The following is a 22,729-nucleotide window of genomic DNA, read 5'->3' as shown; positions in this document are numbered from 1 at the left end:
CCTCTGGGAACTGCCAATATTCTCTTCCTGTTGTTGACAGACTCCATGCAACACAGACATGCTGACATATATACTCACTGTCTGTCTCTCTCTTTTATCTTCCACAAGTCTAGAGAATCTTTTTCTAGCCTGAGAAGGAGAAAATGTCCTCTCTGACTCCCTGTGGGCAATTTGTCCAAGCTTTATATTTCTCTAGAGGCATCTGCCTTTGGAACCCAAAAGACAAAGGATTCTTTTTTACCCTCTCCTTTGCTCAAAGTCACACCTTTCCTCTGAGGCCAGGAGCAGAAAATGGCTTAATTAGGATGTGGGTGGAGGGGAGAGGGAACCAACAGGGGGAAATAGATGTGCAAGGGAAACCATGGGCTGGTGTTTGAGAGGCATCCACCCATCTCAGCTCCTCTTGGCTTCATTCTCCCCAGAGGTTCAGGTAAGACCCTGTTTTTGCCTTTCATCCTTCTTGTGTTCTTAATCTTTCACTTTGCTAATTCTGTGGGTATTCTCATTCTCTGTGTGATGAAAGCTTTGCATGCAATTGTTCCTGTAGGCTTTGCCTTTCTGATTAGATGGCAAACTCATTAGTAATTTCCTACAGAGCCTATCTGTGTTCTCAGGCAGTGAATGTTCCAAAGACTGTTGACTGACTCACACACAGAGGTGCGGACACATACACTGCTGTCTGTCTTCATTTTCTTTTCATTTGTCCTCGTTAACAAAGAGGCTCTTATAAACGTTTCTAAGTCCTTGTTATCACCTGAGGCTATTTCTATATAAATAATTATCTCAAATTACTTACGTGACGTATGACAAAAATCCACAAAAGAAATGTAGGCCTCTTAAAATATGAACTTTGAGTGATTGCTTATCTAGAAAGTCAGATAGCCCGTTTTAAAATATATCAACCACAAAATATTTCTTCCTGAGTCACTTGATGTTTATCCTTATGGAGCCCAGGAGGGACAGAATGTGTAGCATGGTGGGACCTCCGTAGAGACGCAGGAAGGGAAGTCAACCAGGACTGAGCAGAAAGCCATTGCTCGTGTTGTGGGCGGGGGCGGGGGTTGTTGAGGGAAACTAGACTTCTGGTTTCTGGTCAAGTATAAGAGGGACTTGGAACAATGAGGAAAAAACTGAACAAACTGAAAAATCAACAACTCTTCTTCTATCTGTCATGCGCGTCCGTGTGAAGAGACCACCAAACAGGCTTTGTGTGAGCAATAAATCTGTTTATTTCACCTGGGTGCAGGTGGGCTGAGTCCAAAAAGACAGTCAGCGAAGGAAGATGGGGTGGGACCATTTTATAGGATTTGGGTAGGTAAAGGAAAAAAGGGGGTTGTTCCCTGGCGGGCAGGAGTAGGGGTCACAAGGTACTCAGTGGGGGAGCTTTTGAGCCAGGATGAGCCAGGAGAAGGAATTTCACAAGACAATGTCATCAGTTAAGGCAGGAACAGGCCATTTTCACTTCTTTTGTGGTGGAATGTCATCAGTTAAGGCAGGAACCAGCCATCTGGATGTGTACATGCAGGTCACAGGGGATATGATGGCTTAGCTTGGGCTCAGAGGCCTGACATTCCTGTCTTCTTATATTAATAAGAACAATAAAATGAAATAGTGGTAAAGTGTTGGGACAGTGAAAGTTTTGGGGGGCGGTATGGAGAGATAAAGGGCGATGTTTCTCAGGGCTGCTTCGAGCGGGATTAGGGGCAGCGTGGGAACCTAGAGTGGGAGAGATTAAGTTGAAGGAAGCTTTTGTGGTAAGGGATGACATTGTGGGGTTGTTAGAAGAAACATTTGTCATTTAGAATTATTGGTGATGGCCTGGATACAGTTTTATATGAATTGAAAAACTAAATGGTATAAGAGAAGGAGAAAAACAGGTATAAAAGGTCTAAGAATTGGGACGACTCAGGACATCTGATTAGAGAGTGCCTAAGGAGATTCAGCACAGTCCTGCCAGCAAAGATTATTTATTTACTTCAAGAGTTAAGAGTGGCAGTCTGGGGATAGCACCAGGAGATAACAGCTGTGATGGCTTGGAGAAACAGTGTAAACCGGCAGTGTAAACAAGAGCAGGGTATGTATGAGTAGTTGAGAATGGTGAATAGGAGTATGACTAGACAGAAGATAGTAGGGATGACAAGTTTTTTGGGGGCACAGTCTATGTTGGTCTGGTGTCTGGAATGAGACTTGGGCCTAATAAAAAGGAGTGTCTATACAGGAGCTCAAATGGGCTGTACCCTGTAGCATTCTGAGGACAGGTCTGACTTCTGAGAATGGAAAGTGGTAAAAGTATTGTCCAGTCCTTTTTAAGTTGGTGGCTGAGCTTGGTGAGGTGTGTTTTTAAAAGACCATTAGTCTATTCTACTTTTCCTGAAGACTGAGGACCGTAAGGGATATAAAGGTTTCACTGAATACTAAGAACCTGAAAAAATGCTTGGGTGATTTGACTAGTAAAGGCTGGTCCATTATCAGACTGTATAGAGGTGGGAAGTCCAAACTAAGGAATTATGTCTGACAGAAGGGAAGAAATGACCGTGGTGGCCTTCTCAGACCCTGTGGGAAAGACCTCTACTTATCTAGTGAAAGTGTCTACCTAGACTAAGAGGTATTTTAGTTATCTGACTCGGGGCATGTTGAGTAAAGCTAATTTGCCAGTCCTGGGTGGGGGCAAATCCTCAAGCTTGATGTGTAGGGAAGGGAGGGGGCCTGAATAATCCCTGAGAAGTAGTAGAATAGCAGATGGAACACTGAGAAGTTATTTCCTTGAGGATAGATTTCTACGATGGAAAGGAAATGAGAGGTTTTAAGAGGTGGGCTAGTGGCTTGTACTATAGCATAGCCTGCCTTTCTGGTGTGTGGTGATTAGGCCTGTTGGAACTGCCATCAATAAACCAAGTGTGATCAGGGTGAGAAACAGGGAAGAAGAAAATGTGGGGAAATGGGGTGAACGTCAGGTGGATCAGAGAGATGCAGTCATGAGGGTCAGGTGTGGTATCAGGAATAATGTGGGAGGCCAGATTGAAGTCCGGGCCAGGAACAATGGTAATTGTGGGAGACTCAACAAAGAGTGAGTACAGCTGAAGGAGCCGGGGAGCAGAAAGTATATGCGTCGGGTATGAGGAAGAAAATAGATTTTGGAAATTATGAGAGCTGTAGAGAGTGAGTTGAGCATAGTTTGTGATTTTGAGGGCCTTTAAAAGTATTAGGGCGGCAGCAGCCGCAGCACGGAGACATGATGGCCAGCCTAAAACAGTAAGGTCACGTTGTTTGGACAAAAAGGCTACAGGACGCGATCCCGGTCCTTGTGTAAGAATTCTGACTGCACAGCCCTGCACTTCGGCTGTGTATAATGAAAAGGGTTGGGATGAGTCAGGGAGAGCTCGGGTGGGGGCAGCCTCTAAAGGTGTCTTCAAGGAACGGAAAAAGGAGTAGGGAAAGGATTTAGGATTTATGGGGTCAGCTAGGTTTCTTTTTGTAAGTTTATATAATGGTTTTGTTAGGATGGCAAAACCAGGTATCTAAAGTCGAAAGTATCTAACCATGCCTAGGATGTAGAAGGTGTTGGGATTTGAGAGATCAGTCAGACACGATTGGCAGGGAGAGCACGTGTGTTTTTATAAGAATTACGCCGAGACAGGTAACAGATAAGGAAGAAATTTGGGCTTAACTGAAGTAATGGGGGATGACTGTGAAGCCTTGAGGCAGTACAGCCCAGGTAATTTGCTGAGCCTGATGGGTGTCAGGGTCAGTCCAAGTGAAAGCAAAGAGAGGCTGGGATGAAGGGTGCAAAGGAATAGTAAAGAAAGCATGTTTGAGATCTAGAACAGAATAATGCGTTGTAGAGGGAGGTATTGAGGATAGGAGAGTATATGGGTTCAGCACCACGGGGTGGATAGGCAAAACAATTTGGTTGATAAGGTGCGGATCCTGAACTAACCTGTAAGGCTTGTCTGGTTCTAGGACAGGTAAAATGGGGAAATTGTAAGGAGAGTTTATAGGCTTTAAAAGGCCATGCTGCAGCAGGCGAGTGATAACAGGCTTTAATCCTTTTAAAGCGTGCTGTGGGATGGGATCTTGGCATTGAGTGGGGTAAGAGTGATTAGGTTTTAATGAGATGGTAAGGGGTGCATGATCGGTCGCCAAGGAGGGAGTAGAGGTATCTTATTCTCGTGGGTTAAGGTGGGGGGATACAAGAGGAGGACACAAAGGAGGCTTTGGATTGGGAAGAAGGGTGGCAATGAGATGTAGCTGTAGTCCAGGAATAGTCAGGGAAGCAGATAATCTAGTTAAGGTGTCTTGGCCTAATAAGGGAACTGGGCAGGTGGGGATAACTAAAAAGGAGTGCTTAAAAGAATATTGTCTAAGTTGGCACCAGAGTTGGGGAGTTTTAAGAGGTTTAGAAGCCTGGCCATCAATACCCACAGCAGTTATGGAGGCAAGGGAAACAGGCCCTTGAAAAGAAGGTAATGTGGACTGGGTAGCCTCCGTATTGATTAAGAAGGGGACGGACTTACCCTCCACTGTGAGAGTTACCTAGAGCGTCTGTGATGGTCCTGCAGGCTTCCAAGGCGATCAGGCAGTGTCAGTCTTCATCTGCTAAGCTGAGAAGATCTGAGAAGGAGTCAGTCAGAGAGCCTTGGGCCAGAGTTCCAGGGGCTCTGGGAGTGGCTGCCAGGTGAGTTGAACAGTCCGATTTCCAGTGGGGTCCCACACAGATGGGATGCGGCTTAGGAGGAATCCCGGGCTGTGGGCATTCCTTGGCCCAGTGGCCAGATTTCCGGCACTTGTAGCAAGCTCCTGGGGGAGGAGGTTCTGGAGGAATGCCTGGCCGCTGCAGTCAGGCGTTTGGAAGTTCTTGTGTGCTGGAGATATGGCTGGGGTTTGTCTCACAGTGAAGGCAAGGAATTGCAACTTTTTTCTATTATTGTACACCTTGAAGGCGAGGTTAATTAAATCCTGTTGTGGGGTTTGAGGGCCGGAATTTAATTTTTGGAGTTTTATTTAATATCGGGAGCAGATTGGGTAATAAAATGTATATTGAGAATAAGACGGCCTTTTGACCTTTTAGGGTCTAGGGCTGTAAAGCGTCTCAAGGTTGCTGCCGAACGAGCCATGAACTGGGCTGGGTTTTTTATATTTGATGAAAAAGAGTCTAAACGCTAACTGATTTGGGAGAGGTCGGTTAAAGAAAAAGGAGCATTAACCTTCACTATGCCTTTAGCTCCAGCCACATTTTTAAGAGGAAATTGCTGGGCAGGTGGGGGAGAGCTAGTCGAGGAATGAAACTATAAGCCGGACCAGGTGTGAGGAGGGGAGGTGATAAAAGGATTATAGGGTGGAGGAGTGGAGGCTGAGGAAGAATTGGGACCTAGCTCAGCCTGGCGAGGAGGGGAGAGGTCAGATGGGTCTGTAGAAAAGGAAGATTAGAAAGACTCAGCAACACTTGGGGTTCGGACTGAGGGGACAGGCGGGAGGGAAAGGAGGAAGATTTGGTACGAGTTGCATTGGGCACAGAGACTAGGAAGGGACCAATGTGTAAAAGAATGCCTGGACATCAGGCACTTCAGACCGTTTGCCTATTTTACGACAAGAATTATTTAGATCTTGCAGGATGGAAAAATTGAAAGTGCCGTTTTCTGGCTATTTGGAACTATTGTCGAGTTTGTATTGGGGTCAAATGGCATTGCAGAAGAAAATAAGGCATTTAAGTTATAGGTCAGGTGTGAGTTGAAGAGGTTTTAAGTTTTTGAGAACACAGGCTAAGGGAGAAGAAGGAGGAATGGGGGGTAGAAAGTTGCCTATAGTGAAGGAGGCAAGTTTAAAGAAAAGGGAGAGCAGACACACGGAGGGAAGTGGTTCGGGGGTTCTTACCCTCCAGAAAAGCAGGAAAGGGGTCGGGGCGCAGAGATACAAGGTCGGGGCATGGAAATAAGGGATCAGGGTGCAGAGATATAGGAGGTTGAGGCGCAGAAATAAGGGATTGGGGCGCAGAGATATAAGACATTGGGGCACGGAAATAAGGGATCTGGGCGCAGAGATATGAGGTTGGGGTACTTGCCCCTCCTCCAGAAAAGCAGGACTTGCCACTAACGGTGAAGGAGAAGGGGTTGAGGGGTTCTTGCCTCTCCCCCAGAAAAGCAGAGAATGGGTAGAGACAGGGAGAGAAGGGATTGGGGCACTTGCCCCTCCCCCAGAAAAGCAGGACTTGCCGCTAAGGGTGAAGGACCAAGGCAGGCGTCCCTGCGTGGTCTGACACCTCTGAAACGTGGGTGAATAATCACAGAGGCATCCCTGCAATGATTAAACACCAAAGGAAGGCTGCCTTCCCAGTCCGTGACCGGTGCTGGAGTTTTGGGTCCATGGACAAAACGTGTCTCCTTTGTCTCTACCAGAAAATGAAAGGAATTGAAATTAAGAGAAGGGAGAGATTGAAGTGTGGTGCCAAGATTGAAAGGAGAAAGAGGTTGAGGGATAGTGAGGGAGGTTGGAGAAGAGAGTAAAAAGAGGCTGCTGATCGGATTTGAAATTGGTGAGATGTTTCTTGGGCTGGTCGGTCTGAGGACCTGAGGTCGTAGGTGGATCTTTCTCATGGAGCAAAGAACAAGAGGACAGGGGATTGATTTCCCAAGGGAGGTCCCCCCATCTGAGTCATAGCACCAAATGTCATGTGCGTCCGTGTGAAGAGACCACCAAACAGGCTTTGTGTGAGCAATAAAGCTGTTTATTTCACTTGAGTGCAGGTGGGCTGAGTCTGAAAAGAGAGTCAGCTAAGGGAGATGGGGTGGGGCTGTTTTATAGAATTTGGGTAGGTAAAGGAAAAAGGGGGGTTGTTCTCTGGCAGGCAGGAGTGGGGGTCACAAGTTTCTCAGTGGGGGAGCTTTTGAGCCAGGATGAGCCAGGAGAAGGAATTTCACAAGACAATGTCATCAGTTAAGGCAGGAACAGGCCATTTTCACTTCTTTTGTGGTGGAATGTCATCAGTTAAGGCAGGAACCGGCCATCTGGATGTGTACGTGCAGGTCACAGGGGATGGCTTAGCTTGGGCTCAGAGGCCTGACACTATCCATCAGAGAAGTGAGGTCACAGGGCAAAATGCTGTCCCTAAGATTGAAGAGACAAAGGCAGATGGAGAGAATCACAGCTTACCAGATCAGAAGCCCCAGAGCAGAAAACTCTTCAGGAACCAGGACCAGGGTAGAAAAAGCTAAACTCAAACTGATGAATTTCTCAAGGCTCCTTGTGAACAAGCCTGAGAGTTAAAAACGCCTTGGGGTCCAGGTGTAGGGTGAGGTGGGGTCCTACTCTTCCGTGAGTTTTACCTCCAAAAGCCCTACAAGGTTCTCATAGTGAAAATCAGAAGAAAAAAAAATCCCTTTGTCTTTCCAGCAGGTGAGAAAAAAAAAATAACCTTTTTGAATTATATCCAGAAAATTCTGTGGTTTTTGTTGTTGTTGTTGCTGTTGTTTTAAAGAGATCTGCTCTCAAGAGAAACTATTATACTTTACCAGTGCTTCAACTATGGGGGTTTCACAAAAGACTGATTGACATGGGGAAAGGAAATACCCACCTTCAGCACCCTCTGGTTTTCATGGTGGGAGGTGGGAAAAGGCAGTAGGAAACAAAAGAAGCAAAACTGAGAAGTGCTTGGGAAGGTTACAGCCCGAGAACACAAGCTCATCTGAAAACCGGGCCCTAATTATAGGACTATTGAGCACTTCTCCTTCCCCACATCTCATCATCACATTAATAGGGCTCCTGTGGCATAATAGAGGATTACAACAGAAAAAAGCATGCAGCTCAGACATTATTTAAGAACAGTTTGGACAAAACGGATCCAGGTACTGAGGCTAGCACCAGAAAGGGCACTCAGGTGGTGGCTGGGATGCCACAGTGAAGTGAACAAGAAGATGAGGCCAGGATGGACCTGGCAGTAATGTGCCAAGCTCTGTACTTGGGAAAAAACCAGCATAGAGTCTGCTACCTTGCAGATATCCATCAATGACTCACAAACATCCTTGTAAAATTGCATCTATGACAAGGGACCCAAGGTAGAGGTATATTGTGCTATGAGAACCTAACATAGGGGAAATCAGTGTGATTGTAGAGGTCACAGAAAGCTTTCCAGAGGAGGGGCTTGAGGAAGATCTAAGAGTTGAGTGAGGATGCTTTCCAGGCAGAGGGAACAGTATGTGCAAAAGTTCTGAGATGGAAGCAGCGTGGTGAGTATGAACAACTGCCAAAACCTGGAACCCCGAAATCTTGAGTCTATGAGAGAGATTGTCAAAAGAGGATGGGTTTCATTAAGAGGTTGGAAGGAACTGCTAGTTAATACTTAGGAACTAGGCAGTCTGTGTGTCGCAGACATTTTCTTTAAACCCCTAGGCAGATTTAGAAAAATTTAGACATCACATATGAATGATATCCCGTCTAAAAATAGCATGAGAAAAAGTAGGATGATGGCGTGTGTGTGTGTATAGGTATGCCAGTGCCAGAAATCATTTATATAGTCTAGCAGGAAGCTGAATCTGGGGTATAGGAACTTGATGCAAAAGTTAAAAAAAAAAAAAAATAAGGTGAGAACTCAGCCTGAACAAAAAGAGTCATGGCCTGAAAGTTGGCAGACCTTCGTCCAGGCCCTGTCTGTGACTGCTCTGACTGTGGGCTTCTCTAGCCCCTTTAACTGTATACAGGGCAATTTTCTTATATCCAAGATGGAAATATTTCTTGATCTTGCCAGCTCTTAGGTGTGGTGAAAAACACCAAGTTAACATATGGAAAGCAGGTCTGTGGGAAGATGGTATAAACAGTACAGAGGCTGTCACTTCATTCATTCATGGCACCCATTTCAGTGGACACGTGTCTATTGAGCGTCCTATATGCTATATGCTAGGAATGCAGTGGTTAGTACAACCTGCAGGGTCCCTACACTCAGAGCTGGACTCCTGCCATCTGGCTAATGTCACTCAATGAATGTCAGTAGCTCTGCACAATCAAGTGCTGGGATTAAAAGATAGAATAGGTTTTTTTTTTTTCTTTCATGGAACTCAGAATTCACTGAGAAAGAAATCTAATAAACTGTGGAGGGCACCATAAAATAGAAGTAAAAGACACGGTGGGGGGTGTTAGCAATTGAACTGGTGGGGATGCAGACAGGTGATTAGGAAATCTTTCAAAAGAGTTGAGTTTTGAAAGGAGTCAGGAGGGAGGATTATACAGTGATGTAATTAATCAGTTTTTTTATTAGCATAAAATGTTTGACGTATTGGCACTTCTGCAAAAACTCCATATATGTTGCAAAAAACCATGTCTTCTGCAAAATTGCAGATTAAAAATAATAGGATTTATGAGGAAAATGGGATTAGGAGGATCCCTCAAAATCAATAGCACTTTGTAACCAAAGATAGATAAAAGCAATAATAATCCAATAAAACACTAGCCTGGTGAAAACTGCATGCTGGCCTGTGCACCTAGTATTGGTCCTTTGCAGCCCAAAGCCCTGGAACTTATGTGTGGTTCATTTCTAATAGTGACAATTTTCATCAACATTAAAATTTAATTCAGGGCAAAGTTTTCTTCATCCTTTTCTTTCTTAACATGGAGAAAATATATTTGCAGCCTTTTCATCTGTAGTTGTAGCTTCCCCAAATAGGTTTAAAATAAATGTGGTTGTTTATGAAGTCTCTAAAGCAGCCAGATTTGCACTAAAGTAACTTCTGTAGGATTTTAAGCTTTTGTCTTTACGTCTTCATATATTTCTAAGGCCTTTTCCTTATTTTGGAGAAAGCTTGCACTTGATTGCATGAAAAAAAAATGTGCTCAGGAAAATGACAGAAGCAGTCACAAAATTTCTGGACACAAACATCATTCTTTCATTTCACAATCAGATATGAGCTAATTTGTGTTTAAGAAGTAAGCATTGCAGCAGAATTGATCATAAATCATTCCACAAAACAAAGTCCCTGGAAACTTGTTCATCAAAATAAGTGGTGTTGTCTGCACAGTGTGAAAATGGACAAATAATATGCTTTATGGCAACAAATGCTCAAAAACTTTTGGAAACTCTTCATTTGGAAATACTTTCAGAACATGCTGTGGGCTGAATAGTGTTCCTCCCAAATTCATGTGTTGAAGCACTAACCTCCAATGTGACTGTATTTAGAGATACAGTCTTTATGGAAGAAATTAAGGTTAAATGAGGTCATCTCCAGGGCTTTCTCTAGGAGATCCAATCGAGGCCAATGTAGGTCCCCATTCTGATAGGATTAGTGTTCTCAGAAGGAGAGACACCAGAGTGCTCTCTATCTCTCTGTTACTCTCTCAGTGTCTCTGCCATGTAAGGACATGGTGAGAAGGTGGCCTTCTGCAAGCCAGGAAAGGAGTCCTCACCAGATCCAGCCATGCCGGATCCCATTCGAGACTCTCTCCAGTAACATTTCTTGTGTTTCACACTCCTAGTCTATGGTATCTTGTTATGGTGGCTCAACTGACTAATACAGAGCCCTTATACAGTCTTTCAAATATCCTCAGAATAGTAAATTTTTGTCTTAAGAAGGCACATTTTATATTTGGAATCCACTAAATATTTGAAGCCAAGGATATAGAACAAAGTGGATGAGTGAACAGCATAAGAACATTTTTAAAAGTAAGAAAAAACAATGAAATGTAGTTATAAAGTAAAAACATTGCTTTGGATTGGATTTGGGAGTAATTTACAAAAATGAACAAAGGACAGCATCTTTGTGATAATTGTGCAGTCTCCAACAGAACCACTTTGAAGGACAAAAGTCATTTACAAAATTATGTTTTTTCTGAATTATAAAAGAACAAAGACATGTTAATTCATCGTAGAAAATTCCAAAATTTTGGGAAATTATAAATTAATTAAAAAAACCCAGAAATGTACTATCAAACCATCTCCAGAGATAACCACTACAAACATTTTGTAAGAGTTTATTCCAGAATGCTTGGCCCCCAAATATCCACACGTACACTTACACAATCTCATATATTTGGGATCACACTGAATATGGTGTTATGTAACTTGTTTTGTTTCCATTTAACATTATGTTATGAGCATTTCATAAGTAATCTAGCAGACTTGAAACAATGCAATTATATGTTTGTATAATATTCCATTCTATAAATATGCCAATCACCTTTTAAAATTATCTACTGCCAGACATTAAAAACGTTCACATAGTTAAATGTTACAAATAATAAGATTTAAAATGATACAGTATTCCATGAACTTGTCCAAAAATGGATAGTTAAAGGAGTTCTTGAATCTCACTTCTGTTCTAGAAAGCTAAGTGTGCCAATTACTCCCAGTGGGGACAATTTTTGAAGAAATGAGTATATAGTAGAAAAACCAGGGTCAAGAGTTTTAAAGTAATCACCAGATAGGCCATATTTTAGGTAGAATTACATCACCAGTGTGGACTCTTAATCCTGTAATTGGCTCCAATCTTCCCCCATGTACCATAAATTTAATCAGAGTGGTCTAATGTCTCGAATCAATGTTTCCAACTTTTTTCAGTAAACCACTTAATGCAAAATCCACAGCTCTATAAAACCCAATTATGAAACTTTCTCCTTTTTATAATCAGTTAATCATAAAGCTCTCTTGTATATACTCAGCAAAAGAAAGACAAATGATACACACCCTAGAATTCTCTAACACAGCTGAGTTTTAGTTTTTCTTGAAGGAACAATCACGGAATGTAGGCTACAGTTCCATGCAGTAGTTACAATAAACCGAGAAGAAACAGAAATAGGACGAGGTCTGTTTCTCATCCTATGCCATTTTATGTCCCTATTATTTGGCAGGTCTTGAAGGACAGAAGAGAAAAAGTGGGAGGATGTTTCCAAAGCCACATCCCAGTCTTGGACCAACTTGAGTGTGTCTGGGTGGCTGTGACAGAGGCATGGGGGATCCTAGGCCTGAGAGTGGCATCTTCTGCCTGGTTCATCCTTTGGGCTCCTAGAGAATGGGACCGTCATCCTCAGCAGTGGAAAGTCCTTGCTGCGGGTTGCACACGCTTAGGAGACACCTGAGTCAGGGAGTGCGGACATTGCAGATGCCACACCTCCCCGTTTCCTGTCCCAATTCCTTGGGAAATAGGTCACATGCAGATTTTATTGGCTGCATGTGGACCTTGCAGAGGAAACCACATACCCTGAGGAACAGGAACCAGAAAGGCAGCTCCCCATCTCCTTAACTGCTCTGACTTCTGCCCTCTCTTTCTCAGCCTTAGCTGAAGAGCTCATCTCTTTCTGCTAGGACTATTTTAATAGTCTCCAAATCGGCTTCCTGACTCTAAATTGGCTTCCTGACTCCAAATTGGTTTCCTATCAGATCTGTCTTTTGGAAGCTTTAAATGTTTAGTTCTTTATAGCCTGCAGGATTAAAATCCAACCTCTTAGCATAATATTCAAGGCTCTTTGAGGTCTGGCTCCATGCCTACTGGACTCCACGCTCCACCAATATTGAAATAATGACAGTTACCTGAATGCATCTTGCTGTTTAAGATTCTACAGGTATGACTTTGGGCAAGGTGCTTATCTCCTCTCTGTTTTGGCTCATTTAGAGGTGAAGGTGAGAATAGAATCTGCCTTGTTGTAGTGTTGTGAGGATTAAATGAGATAATATGCAAAAAAGACTTACAGAGAAGTCTGGCACATAGTAAAATGCTCAACAAATTCTATTACTATTATTCCCTCTTCCTGAACTTCTTTATTTTCCATTTTAATCTGTCAGGTCTGTGCTTATCTTTCGAGAGGCAAATCAAGTGCCTCCTCTCTGTTCAGTGTTTACTTGCCTCTGCTGAGTAGAGATCATTGCTTCTGTTGTCTCCTACTGCACTAAGAACCTACCACTCACATCATGAGGTACACCCTTTGCAGTTATTTGCTTGCATATTTTTCTTTGCCATAAGACTGTAAGCTCAGTGACGGCAGGTACCATGCCCCAGTCATCTCTGTAGCTCCCACTTAGCACAGAGCTTAGCACATGGTAAGACCCTTACTTGACTTTTATTGGATGGGTTAGGATTAGGAATCCCCAGCTGCTTGATGCCTTCCCAGCCTGGCGCTCATATATGAGAGTGGGTATTGGGTTCTCATCATTCGACATTGCAGGTCAGATGCATTTCAGTTGCACAGCCGTGTAAGATGGTCCCTGTGCATCTGCCCACAGGAAGACGTTGCAAATGTCTGCAGCTGATATCCCCATCCCCTAGAAAGCACCTCTCAGCAAATTTCTATGTGCTGGATTCAACATAAGAGCCACATCTCAGTGTGCAAGGGAAGACAGTTTCTGGGCCTGTACCTTTCACCTGACAGATGCCCAATTTACTGTGTCCAGCATGCTCAAGTCCATTCTACAGCAGTTAAGAATATTTTCATTGTGCTTCAAAGTGACATGCTAAGATAGATCTGGCTGTGGGGGTGGGAAGGAACACTAACTACATTTTCCAAAATTAAAGTTTCTTCTTATAATTACCAAGTAAAGTTGTCCATGCAGGAGTACCAGCTCTTCATAAATCTCCTAAATAGCTCTTGTTTAAAATCTGATATAATTCCAAAATGTCCATAAAGATGATTAGAATATAGCACAAGAATACCTGGCCACAGAGAAACGTATTTAAAATCAGTTCAAGGCTGATCTTGAAAAATTGCAAGAGGGGAAATATGTAAAGCAGGAAAAATGTGTTATAACGAAAAAAAAGTGTGAGACTCCTTCTCCATGAGAAAACTGTAATCAGATTCCTCAGCTCTGCTGAAAGGATGATACTGGCACTTCAAAGTCTTTAAAAAATTATTGAGCTATGAGGCATGAGAACAGAGTGCCAAGTAGTTAATAAAGATTACTATAGGGATAAAAATTTGAAACTATCAAATATTAGGAACCATTAAGAAAATTACACTACCTCTACAGTACTATAAAGGCATTAAAGAGGTATTAATAAACATTCTTTAATGGCCTGGAAAATACTAATGAATAATATTATGCCAAAAAAGTAATTATAAAACCGTATACACAGGATGATCTTGAGTATGTACAATGCATAGTAAGAAATAGAAGGAATCGGTCATATCTGTCACGGTTGTTACGTTTTAGTAGGTGGTAGTGGAATTATAAGGCCCTCTTCCTGCTCCTGTCTTTTACCTATTTATCAAGTTATATTAAAGTAAAACATTTTCTTATTATTTATTTTACTGAAAAAATCTTTGATTCCTATTTAGAACTGAAGTTTGCCAGTGAGTGATTGGCTCTTCCGAAATATTCTCTGATAGGGTTTGGATCTGTGTCCTCACTAAATCTCACATTGAATTTTAATCCCTAATGTTGGAGGTGGGGTGTGGCGGGAGGTGATTGGATCATGGGAGCAGATTTCTCATGAATGGTTAACACCATCCCGTTGCTGCTGTTCTTGTGATAGTCAGTGAGTTCTGGCAAGATCTAGTTGTTTAAAAGTGTGTAGTACCTTCCCCCTTGCTCTCTCTCTTGCTCCTGCTCCCACTTCACCTTCTGCCATGATTGTAAGTTTCCTAAGGCCTCCCCAGAAGCTGAGCAGATGCCAGCACCATGCTTTCTGTACAATTTGCATAATCGTGAGTCAATTAAACCTCTTTTCTTTATAAATTACCCAGTCTCAGGCATTTCTTATAGCAATGCAAGAATGGACTAATACATCCTCTTGTGGTTGGGGGTGGGTGGTGGGTAGCAGAGGCCTTGGGAGAACAGACTTTCAGAAAGTATCAGATAGTCCAGCCCTGCTGGAGGAATGTACCCATCCCTGGTAAGTTCTTGCTGAAGCTAGGGAGAAAATGGGGGAGTCAGTTTCCTGTTTCCCATATGGGTTCCTGTTCTAGCTCCATCCCAGCTTCCCACACCCACTGTGGGAGACTTAAGGCTTGGGCAGCTCTTCACAGCACTGGGGGAAAGATGGAAGCCACCTGGACAACAGAGAGCCAACTGAGAGATGGGCTTGGGAGCTGCCATAAATGCCCAATGGCTGCATTTTGCTTGTACTAGAGGTGGAGTGAAAGATAGTGCTCTTTAAAAATCACTCTGAAATTTATTGCTTGGAAGTAGGATTTGAAAAATAAATAAATAAAATGAACTTCCTTGTTAGTATGAACTGGAGGGAAATAACTAGATTTGAGAAGGTTGATGGTGACATTGATCAGTGAGGCCCTATTGAAAAGGAAAGTTTGGATAGATTTGTATGGTATTATGCCCATCCTTTCTGGTTGCTAAAGCCCCAGGCCAGGACCTTCCTGTTGCTGTAGAGGGCTATCAAGAGAAAAATAATTTCACCCCACTTGTCAGGAACTTTGCTACTCTCAGCCAGACCCTTATCTATGACTCATGAGTACTGGGCAAAAAAGACCCCTCATCCTACAAAGTAGTTGGCCAGTGAACCTTATGGTGAGGAGCCTGGTCTGATTGGATAATTCAGACAGATGGTTGTAGATGCCTCTGGTTCTTGAGAATTACAGGGATCCTTGGGCAATAGACTCAACCAATAATTTTTTATTATGTTTCAGGCCCCGTTCCAGACAATGAGGATAGGGTAGCAAATAATGGATAGGTAGTACATTACTATAAATAGTGGCCCCAAGGAATTGGTCTAGTGGGATATGGACTTTCTAAAAGATGAGGAGAAAAGAAAGTCATGATGTGATTTAACCTGGATTGTTTGCAGTCAAACTTTGGAGACAAGGTAGTAAGGAAAAGAGCATAGGCCTTGCTATCAAATGGGTGAAGTTCTTTACACTGTATACAAAAATTAACTCAATACAGATTGAAGACTTAAATGTAAAGCCAAAAACTGTAAAAACCCTAGAAGAAAATCTAGGCAGTACCATTCAGGACATAGGCGCGGGCAAAAATTTCATGAAAAACATCACCAAAAGCACTTGCAACAAAAGCAAAAATTGACAAATGGAATTGAATTAAACTAAAGAGCTTCTGCGCAGCAAAAGAAACTATCATCAGAATGAACAGGAAACCTACAGAGTGGGAGAAAATTTTTGCAATCTATCCATCTGACAAAGGGCTAATATCCAGAATCTACAAGAAACTTAAACAAATTTACAAGAAAAATCAAACAACCCCATTAAAAAGTGGGCAAAACATATGAACAGACACTTCTCAAAAGAAGACATTCATGTGGCCAAGAAACATATGAAAAATGCTCAACATCAATAATAATTAGAGAAGCGCAAATCAAAACCACAATGAGATACAATCTCATACCCAGTCAGAATGGCGATTATTAAAAAGTCAAGAAACAACAGATGCTGGTGAGGTTGCAGAGAAAAAGGAACGTTTTTACACTGTTGGTGGGAATGTAAATTAGTTTAACCATTGTGGAAGATGGTGTGGTGATTCCACAAAGATCTAGAACGAGAAATAACATTTAATCCAGCAATCCCATTCCTGGGTATATACCAAAAGGAATATAAATCATTCTGTTACAAAGATGCATTACATGCATGTATATGTTCATTGCAGCACTATTCACAATAGCAAAGACATGGAATTAACCCAAATGCCCCTAAGTGACACACTGGATAAACAAAATGTGGTACATATACACCATGGAATATTATGCAGCCATAAAAAGAATGAGATCATGTTCTTTGCAGGAACATGGATGGAGCTGGAAGCCATTATCAGCAAACTATTGCAGGAACAGAAAATCAAACACTGCGTGTTCTTACTTATAAGTGGGAGCTGAATAATAGGACCACATGCGAGGGGAACAACACACACTGGGGGCTGTTGGGGGTGGGTTGGGGAGAGGGAGAACATTAGGAATAAATAGCTAATGGATGCTGGGCTTAATACCTAGGTGTTGAGTTGATAGGTACAGCAAACCACCATGGCACATGTTTACTTATGTAACTAATTTGCACACGTACCAGAAAACTTAAAATAAAAATACAAATTAAAAAAAATAGGTAAAGGTCTGTCTCTGGGTCCTGGCCTGTAAAGCAATGTTGTCTTGGGCCAATTATTTAACCCTTTTGGGCCTTGGTATTCTCATTTATAAAATGGATTTGTATGAGGGGTCAAAAGTCAACATTTCTAGAAATGCCAATTGTTTTGCAAATGTATGTATTCTTATTGCTTCACTAACACTTATTATCTTTACCAACATTGTTATTGTCAGACTTCTTGGTTGCCTGCCAGAAGCAAAGGTAAGTCTGTTTTGGAGGAAGATGAAATCAACCAGAGCCTCAAATTATTTTACCATTTTTAGTATGTATTTCCTAGTATAAAACAGATAATCTGGCATTTGGAGACAAGTATTGATCCATAAACCCAGAGAAATGTGACAAAATTGAATAGACTTATGAGGAATCTAACAAGTAAAGATATTATACATGGACTTTAGAATAACTATGCTTAATATTTTTAGGGATTTAAAAGACAAGATTGAGAAAGAGAAATGAAAATTATTTTTTAATAACTGAATAAAAATTATAGAATTAAAAAATACAATAACTAAAAGAGTAATGGATTTGTACATTTAAAAATGGTTAAAATGTCAATTTTACGTTATATATATTTTACCACAAAAAGAGAGGGTAATAGGTTTAACAGAAAATTGGACATTGTTTTCAGAGGTAATAACCTCTGAACTAAGGGAAAGATTGGAAGAAAATACTCAGACTGAAACACTGAAAAAGAATCGAAAGATAGAAACGAGTGTAAGAGATACTTGAGATGCGGTAATAAGGTCTAACATAAGTGCAATTGGAATCCTAGAAAAAGAAGAGAGAGCTTCTGGTAGAAGCAAATAAGAAGAGGTAGTGGACAAAGGCACCCAGAATCAGGGAGACAGGAAAAATATTTGGTAAGTGGTTGGGACAGGCACTGATCAATCAGAATGGACATGGCAGGAGTCAATAACTGGCAGGGCCATGGTATTGTGTCCCAGCTGAATATCAGCCTGCCTTCCGCTAGGGGACGCAGCCTACTCACCACCATGCAGCTCTGCCTGCCAGGCTCAAGGCTGCCAGGAGTCATATCATAACCTCTACTGGGACAGCTACCCTGACAAGGGCAAGAACACCTGTTCTCCCTCTTCTATTCCTGCCTCAGCTGGGACACAAGCCCCCCTGCAGGCACAATTCCTCTAGCTGGAGTTACGTCCTGTTCATTCAGAGACATTGATGTCCATCCAGAAATAAAGGGGATGCCAGAGAGCAGACAGTGACTGTCCTAGCCAGGCTGCCTTTCACACTCTTGTTGCTGTTACCCTGCCTCCGAGGCCAGCACACTGCCTGACGACTTCCCATCTCTTAGACCTTTGGTTTCTTTCATCTCTGTAGTTCTGTGGATGCACTGGTCTCTGATCTAATTTCAGCTCCTGACACCACTTTTCTTCTCATTCCTCTGGGAGTGACCAGACATAGCCCTGAGATTGCACAACTTCAGGGGTAACTTCCCCCAGCATTCAATGTGCAGGGCAGGCCTGGCAGGCCATGACATAGCATACAGTGTGAATGGTGCACCCTGGACATGGGAAACCCCACAGTGTTATGATCAGTGTATTTGCAAGTGGGGCACTCTGTGAATCCTGAAGTGCTAGCTAGTTGAGAAATCTTCTACGTTTTCGGCTTCAGCTACTGTTTTGATGTGGTGACCATCTTTTCCTCTCTCCTTCTTGTTGTATCTCTGGGGATGCAGATCACAGTATTCACTCCTCTGACCACAGTGTGAGGAACCCTACCTGCTTCGCTCCTCATAGTTCTCATTGGGGATAAACATGTGACCCAGGACAGGCTAATCAGAGCCCTTCCCTGGGATTTTCTATGCATGCACCAGCAGAAAGATGCACCCCTTTTGCTATGGGTTTGCAAATGTGGAACTCTAAGCCCAGAATTTTCTATGGCCAAGCCCTGCGCTTATACAAACCACAAGGATTAGGAGGACATTAGGCCAAGTGTTGAGAGAGAAAGGTGTAGGGAGATGGAAACATATTATTTGAGTCCCTTGGACTGCCTAGTTATATAAGGCTTTACAGGCCCAGTTTTGCTCAAGATAGTTTTAGTTGAGTTTTAATCTCCTCCAGAACAACCCTGAAAATAAGAAAATCTTGGTACCTTAGGCATTTCTTACACAAGGGCTACAGTAGTAACCACAAAATGCATATTATTTCATAAGCCCATAAAATGTGGCAGGGCAGAGATGAAGGACAGTCTCTGGCAAGTGATTTTAAATCAAGTTAAAGCAACATTAAGTGACACACCAGCAGGCAGCACACACACCTAGCCAGCCCTGCCTGGAACTCCCGCAGATGGCAGCCTCTGCAGATACACTAGAAAAGCATTTGAGCCAATTTGGGCTGCAATTTCCATCCTAACTTTGCCTGGGTATAAAGGCCAGTATCCCTGCTGCTCTGGGACCTGCCAAACATTTCCTTCTTCACCAGACAGCCGACTTTGAGAGGGAAAGGCAGGACAAAACATCTCTAGTTTTTGTTGTCAGCTCAAATGAATGGAAAGCTGACTATTCCGCTGCTGCTAAGTGTACCCAGGCTGACGCACTGGTTGCCATGGTGCCTGAGTGCACTCTGCCACTGCCGAAATCTCTGCACCTGTACCTGCAAAATACCACTGACGGAGAGCTTATTTTTGTGATTAAAGTAGTTAGTCATGCATTAACAGCACAGGAGAACATTCTGCAGACCTGGAATGTCTGTGATGTCTCCATAGGTCAAATAGGAACACTTTATGGATGCACTTTAGCAGGTAGTTCAATGTCATTTAAAAGCATTGGCTGAGAAGCAGGGGGGCATCAGATCTCAGAGGGAGCACAGGGACATGGAAACCTTGCTCTGTGGACAGGGAGGTCAGACAGCAAGTAGCTGAAGGGTTGGTGTGGACACAGAGGAGTCATAAAGAACATAGCTTTGCTGGTGTTTGAAAGCCTCCAGTGGAGAGATAAAATTGCAGAAATCTCAGTGTTTTGTTGGTGTGGTGTTAGAAGGCCAGAATGATGAGAATGGTGAGAAGACAGCACACATCTGGGTCTCTTTCTTCCCCTTTTCCATACTGTAGTCCCTGTCTAGGTCTGTATTATTGCTTTTCCCTGGACTATTGCAGTTAACGCCTAATCTTCTCCCTGGAGTCAATTGTCTTCTTTATCAACTTATTTGTCATTCGGGTGGGGGGAGGTCATTATTCTGTTGCTTGCCTGTTGTACTCTCCTGCTCAGGAACCTTCAGTAGCTCCTTTCTGCCTTCCGCATGGTCCTCAAGGTTCTCCATGATCATACCTGACTTTCCTTTCAAGGTTTGTCTCCTACCCCTTGACTTCATACACTAGATTCTTCCAGATGGAGCCAGGCATTTACTCACAATATCCTCACAGTGTCTTTGAAAGCTGGAATCCTCCAAGACACATATCACTGAAAACTTCCTTCATGAATCCTCCCATCTTCTTCCAAGCAAACAGAACATCTCCCTTTCCCAATTCTCCCTTCACATGGCACGTGTCCATGATCTTGAATTATAATGGTTTCATAATTCTTTGTGAGCATCTTGAGTACAAGACCCCACTTATTCATCATGATATCATACATGCAATTGATTTTCTTTCCTCCCCTCTCCTAAACAAACCAGTTTTACATCTTATTTGTGAATTCATTTAAGCATCATTTTCTGTCTATAGATGTGTCAGCCCTGGAATTCTCCTCTGAACCAGTTTTAGCATCTTACTGGTTTCCTCATTAATTAATGAATTAAATAAAATCTTTGACACATTTGTTTTTATTATTTTTTAAGTTTTAAGGTCGGGGTACATGTGCAGGTTTGTTACATAGGTAAACTTTTGCCATGGGGGTTTGTTATAAAGATTATTTCATCACCCGGGTATTAAGCCTAATACTCATTAGTTATTTTTCCTGATCCTCTCCCTCCTCCCACCCTCCACCTTCTGATAAGTCCCAGTGTGTGTTGTTCCTCTCTATGTGTCCATATATGCTCATCATTTAGCTCCCACTTATAAGTGGGAACATGTAGTATTTGGTTTTCTGTTCCTGTTTTAGTTTATTAAGGATAATGACCTCTAGCTCCATCCATATCCCTGCAAAGGACATGATCTCAGTCTTTTTAGACAAATTTATTTTATATTTGCAGGACAGCCCTGAATACATTCTATTTTAAAAACTATCCTATAACAATTTATTCCTGAATATGCATTTGTCCATTCATTTGCTCATCACAAACACTAAACACCAAAAATAAGGGTGCAAATAAGTTATTTTCATAAAGTTAAATGAGCCTATTTGTTAATTTATTCATCCATTTGTTCATATTTTGAACATTTATTATGTGACCACTCTCATTAGAATCATAAATGTTATATTTATTTGCACTAAAATCATAAGGTTTTATCAAGTCTTAACCATCAACATTTCTTACAGTAGGCACTTTGAGACTGTAATTTGATGAGAATACTGGGAAGAAAGGACCTTGACCTGGCTGTAGGTGACATTTGGAGAGTATCTGGGAGCATCATGACTCAGCAGTGAGAGGCTCTGGGTAGAGGAGGAAACCTGATAGGCTCTCCCTCAGCAGCGGGCTCCCTCCCCACTGGCGCATATGGAGCCTGAATCTTTCCGTCTTCTGCTCTGGCTTCTGTGGCTTTTGCAGTAATCTGAAACGCTTGGAGGAGACTCAGGGCACAGAGCCATCAAAGTTAATCAGAGCTTGGAAATGTGAAGGCTTAAAAGCAAAACTAAAAGAGCTAAGATGATTTATGAATGAAGAGAAATTTTGTAGCTGCCTTAAAAATCTGTGAAAAGTAATTATAAAGAAAGATGGTGACCAACTTCTTTTTAGTGCACATTGAGTAGGTGAAGAAATAGGTTTTGATGTAAAAATTGCTCAGTAGTGAGTGATGTTAAATATCGGAATTGATCAATGAAAGAAGTTAGGGGGTCTCTTCTGATGGTCTTTAGAAAAGCGGATTGCACATTTATACTACAATGCACATATGTGTGGCTTTATCTAGAGGTCACAGGGATGATGAAATTATTTCTTAGATTTCTAGGTAGAGACAAGTTCTATGACTCTCACCTGGAATATATCCTTGAGATTATGATTTGCTCCAGGTGGATGAGGACCTAACACTAATGCGAAAAGGCATTAGCTAAACTTGTCTTTGATTTTCCTGCAGCTGCCTTCTCTGCAATGCTTCTGAAGATACACTTCTAATACTTGCTTAGTACTTACTTTGTTGGAAGGCACGGGGAAAAGTCCTGGTTCATGGAATCAACAGGTTTTCTCTTGGGTCCTCTCTTTGCTATGGCATCTTCTCTTCATAGCAAGTAACTCCTCTCTTTGGTCTCAGTTTCTTATTTGTAAAAAGGAAAGATTATCTCTTACCTCAAAGGATTTTTTGTGGGTGTGAAAACAAAGTCTAATAGTGTGTTTGAAGCACTTTATAGTTACAGCACATTGTTACAAATGATAAGTAATAAAGTGTTACCCAATATGAATGTTTGCTTTGTATCATCATATTATTTCAAAAGTAACAATGCTCTATTTACATATAAGTGATCACACCATAATTTATGTAATATTAAAAATATTATCCCACTTCAAATATAGATTCACATACAGTTTCAGTCCTAAAGGGCTCTTTTTTCCCATGAAGATGCAGTATAAAACATGCACATGGGATGTGCACACACACACATACACAC

General features: G+C 42.1%; 1 long non-coding RNA gene across 2 annotated transcripts in view, besides 1 other annotated feature; it reads left to right on the top strand.

Annotated features, from left to right (window-relative positions):
* Positions 1–22,729, top strand: part of LOC105370324 (uncharacterized) — a 179,291-nt gene that overhangs the window by 61,668 nt on the left and 94,894 nt on the right. The window lies entirely within an intron of this gene.
* Positions 6,686–7,207: an enhancer, noted in NCBI's record as "OCT4-NANOG hESC enhancer chr13:98294424-98294945 (GRCh37/hg19 assembly coordinates)". NCBI's record gives its function as "activates a minimal SCP1, AML or CMV promoter by ChIP-STARR-seq in naive H9 embryonic stem cells {active_cell/tissue: H9 hESC(naive)}" and the evidence as "EXISTENCE:reporter gene assay evidence [ECO:0000049][PMID:30033119]".

The sequence above is a fragment of the Homo sapiens genome, chromosome 13, assembly GCF_000001405.40.
Source record: "Homo sapiens chromosome 13, GRCh38.p14 Primary Assembly".
In the NCBI taxonomy this organism is placed as follows: Eukaryota; Metazoa; Chordata; class Mammalia; order Primates; family Hominidae; genus Homo; species Homo sapiens.
Note: the sequence above shows the minus strand (reverse complement) of the source record. Positions and strands in the feature narration are given on the sequence as shown.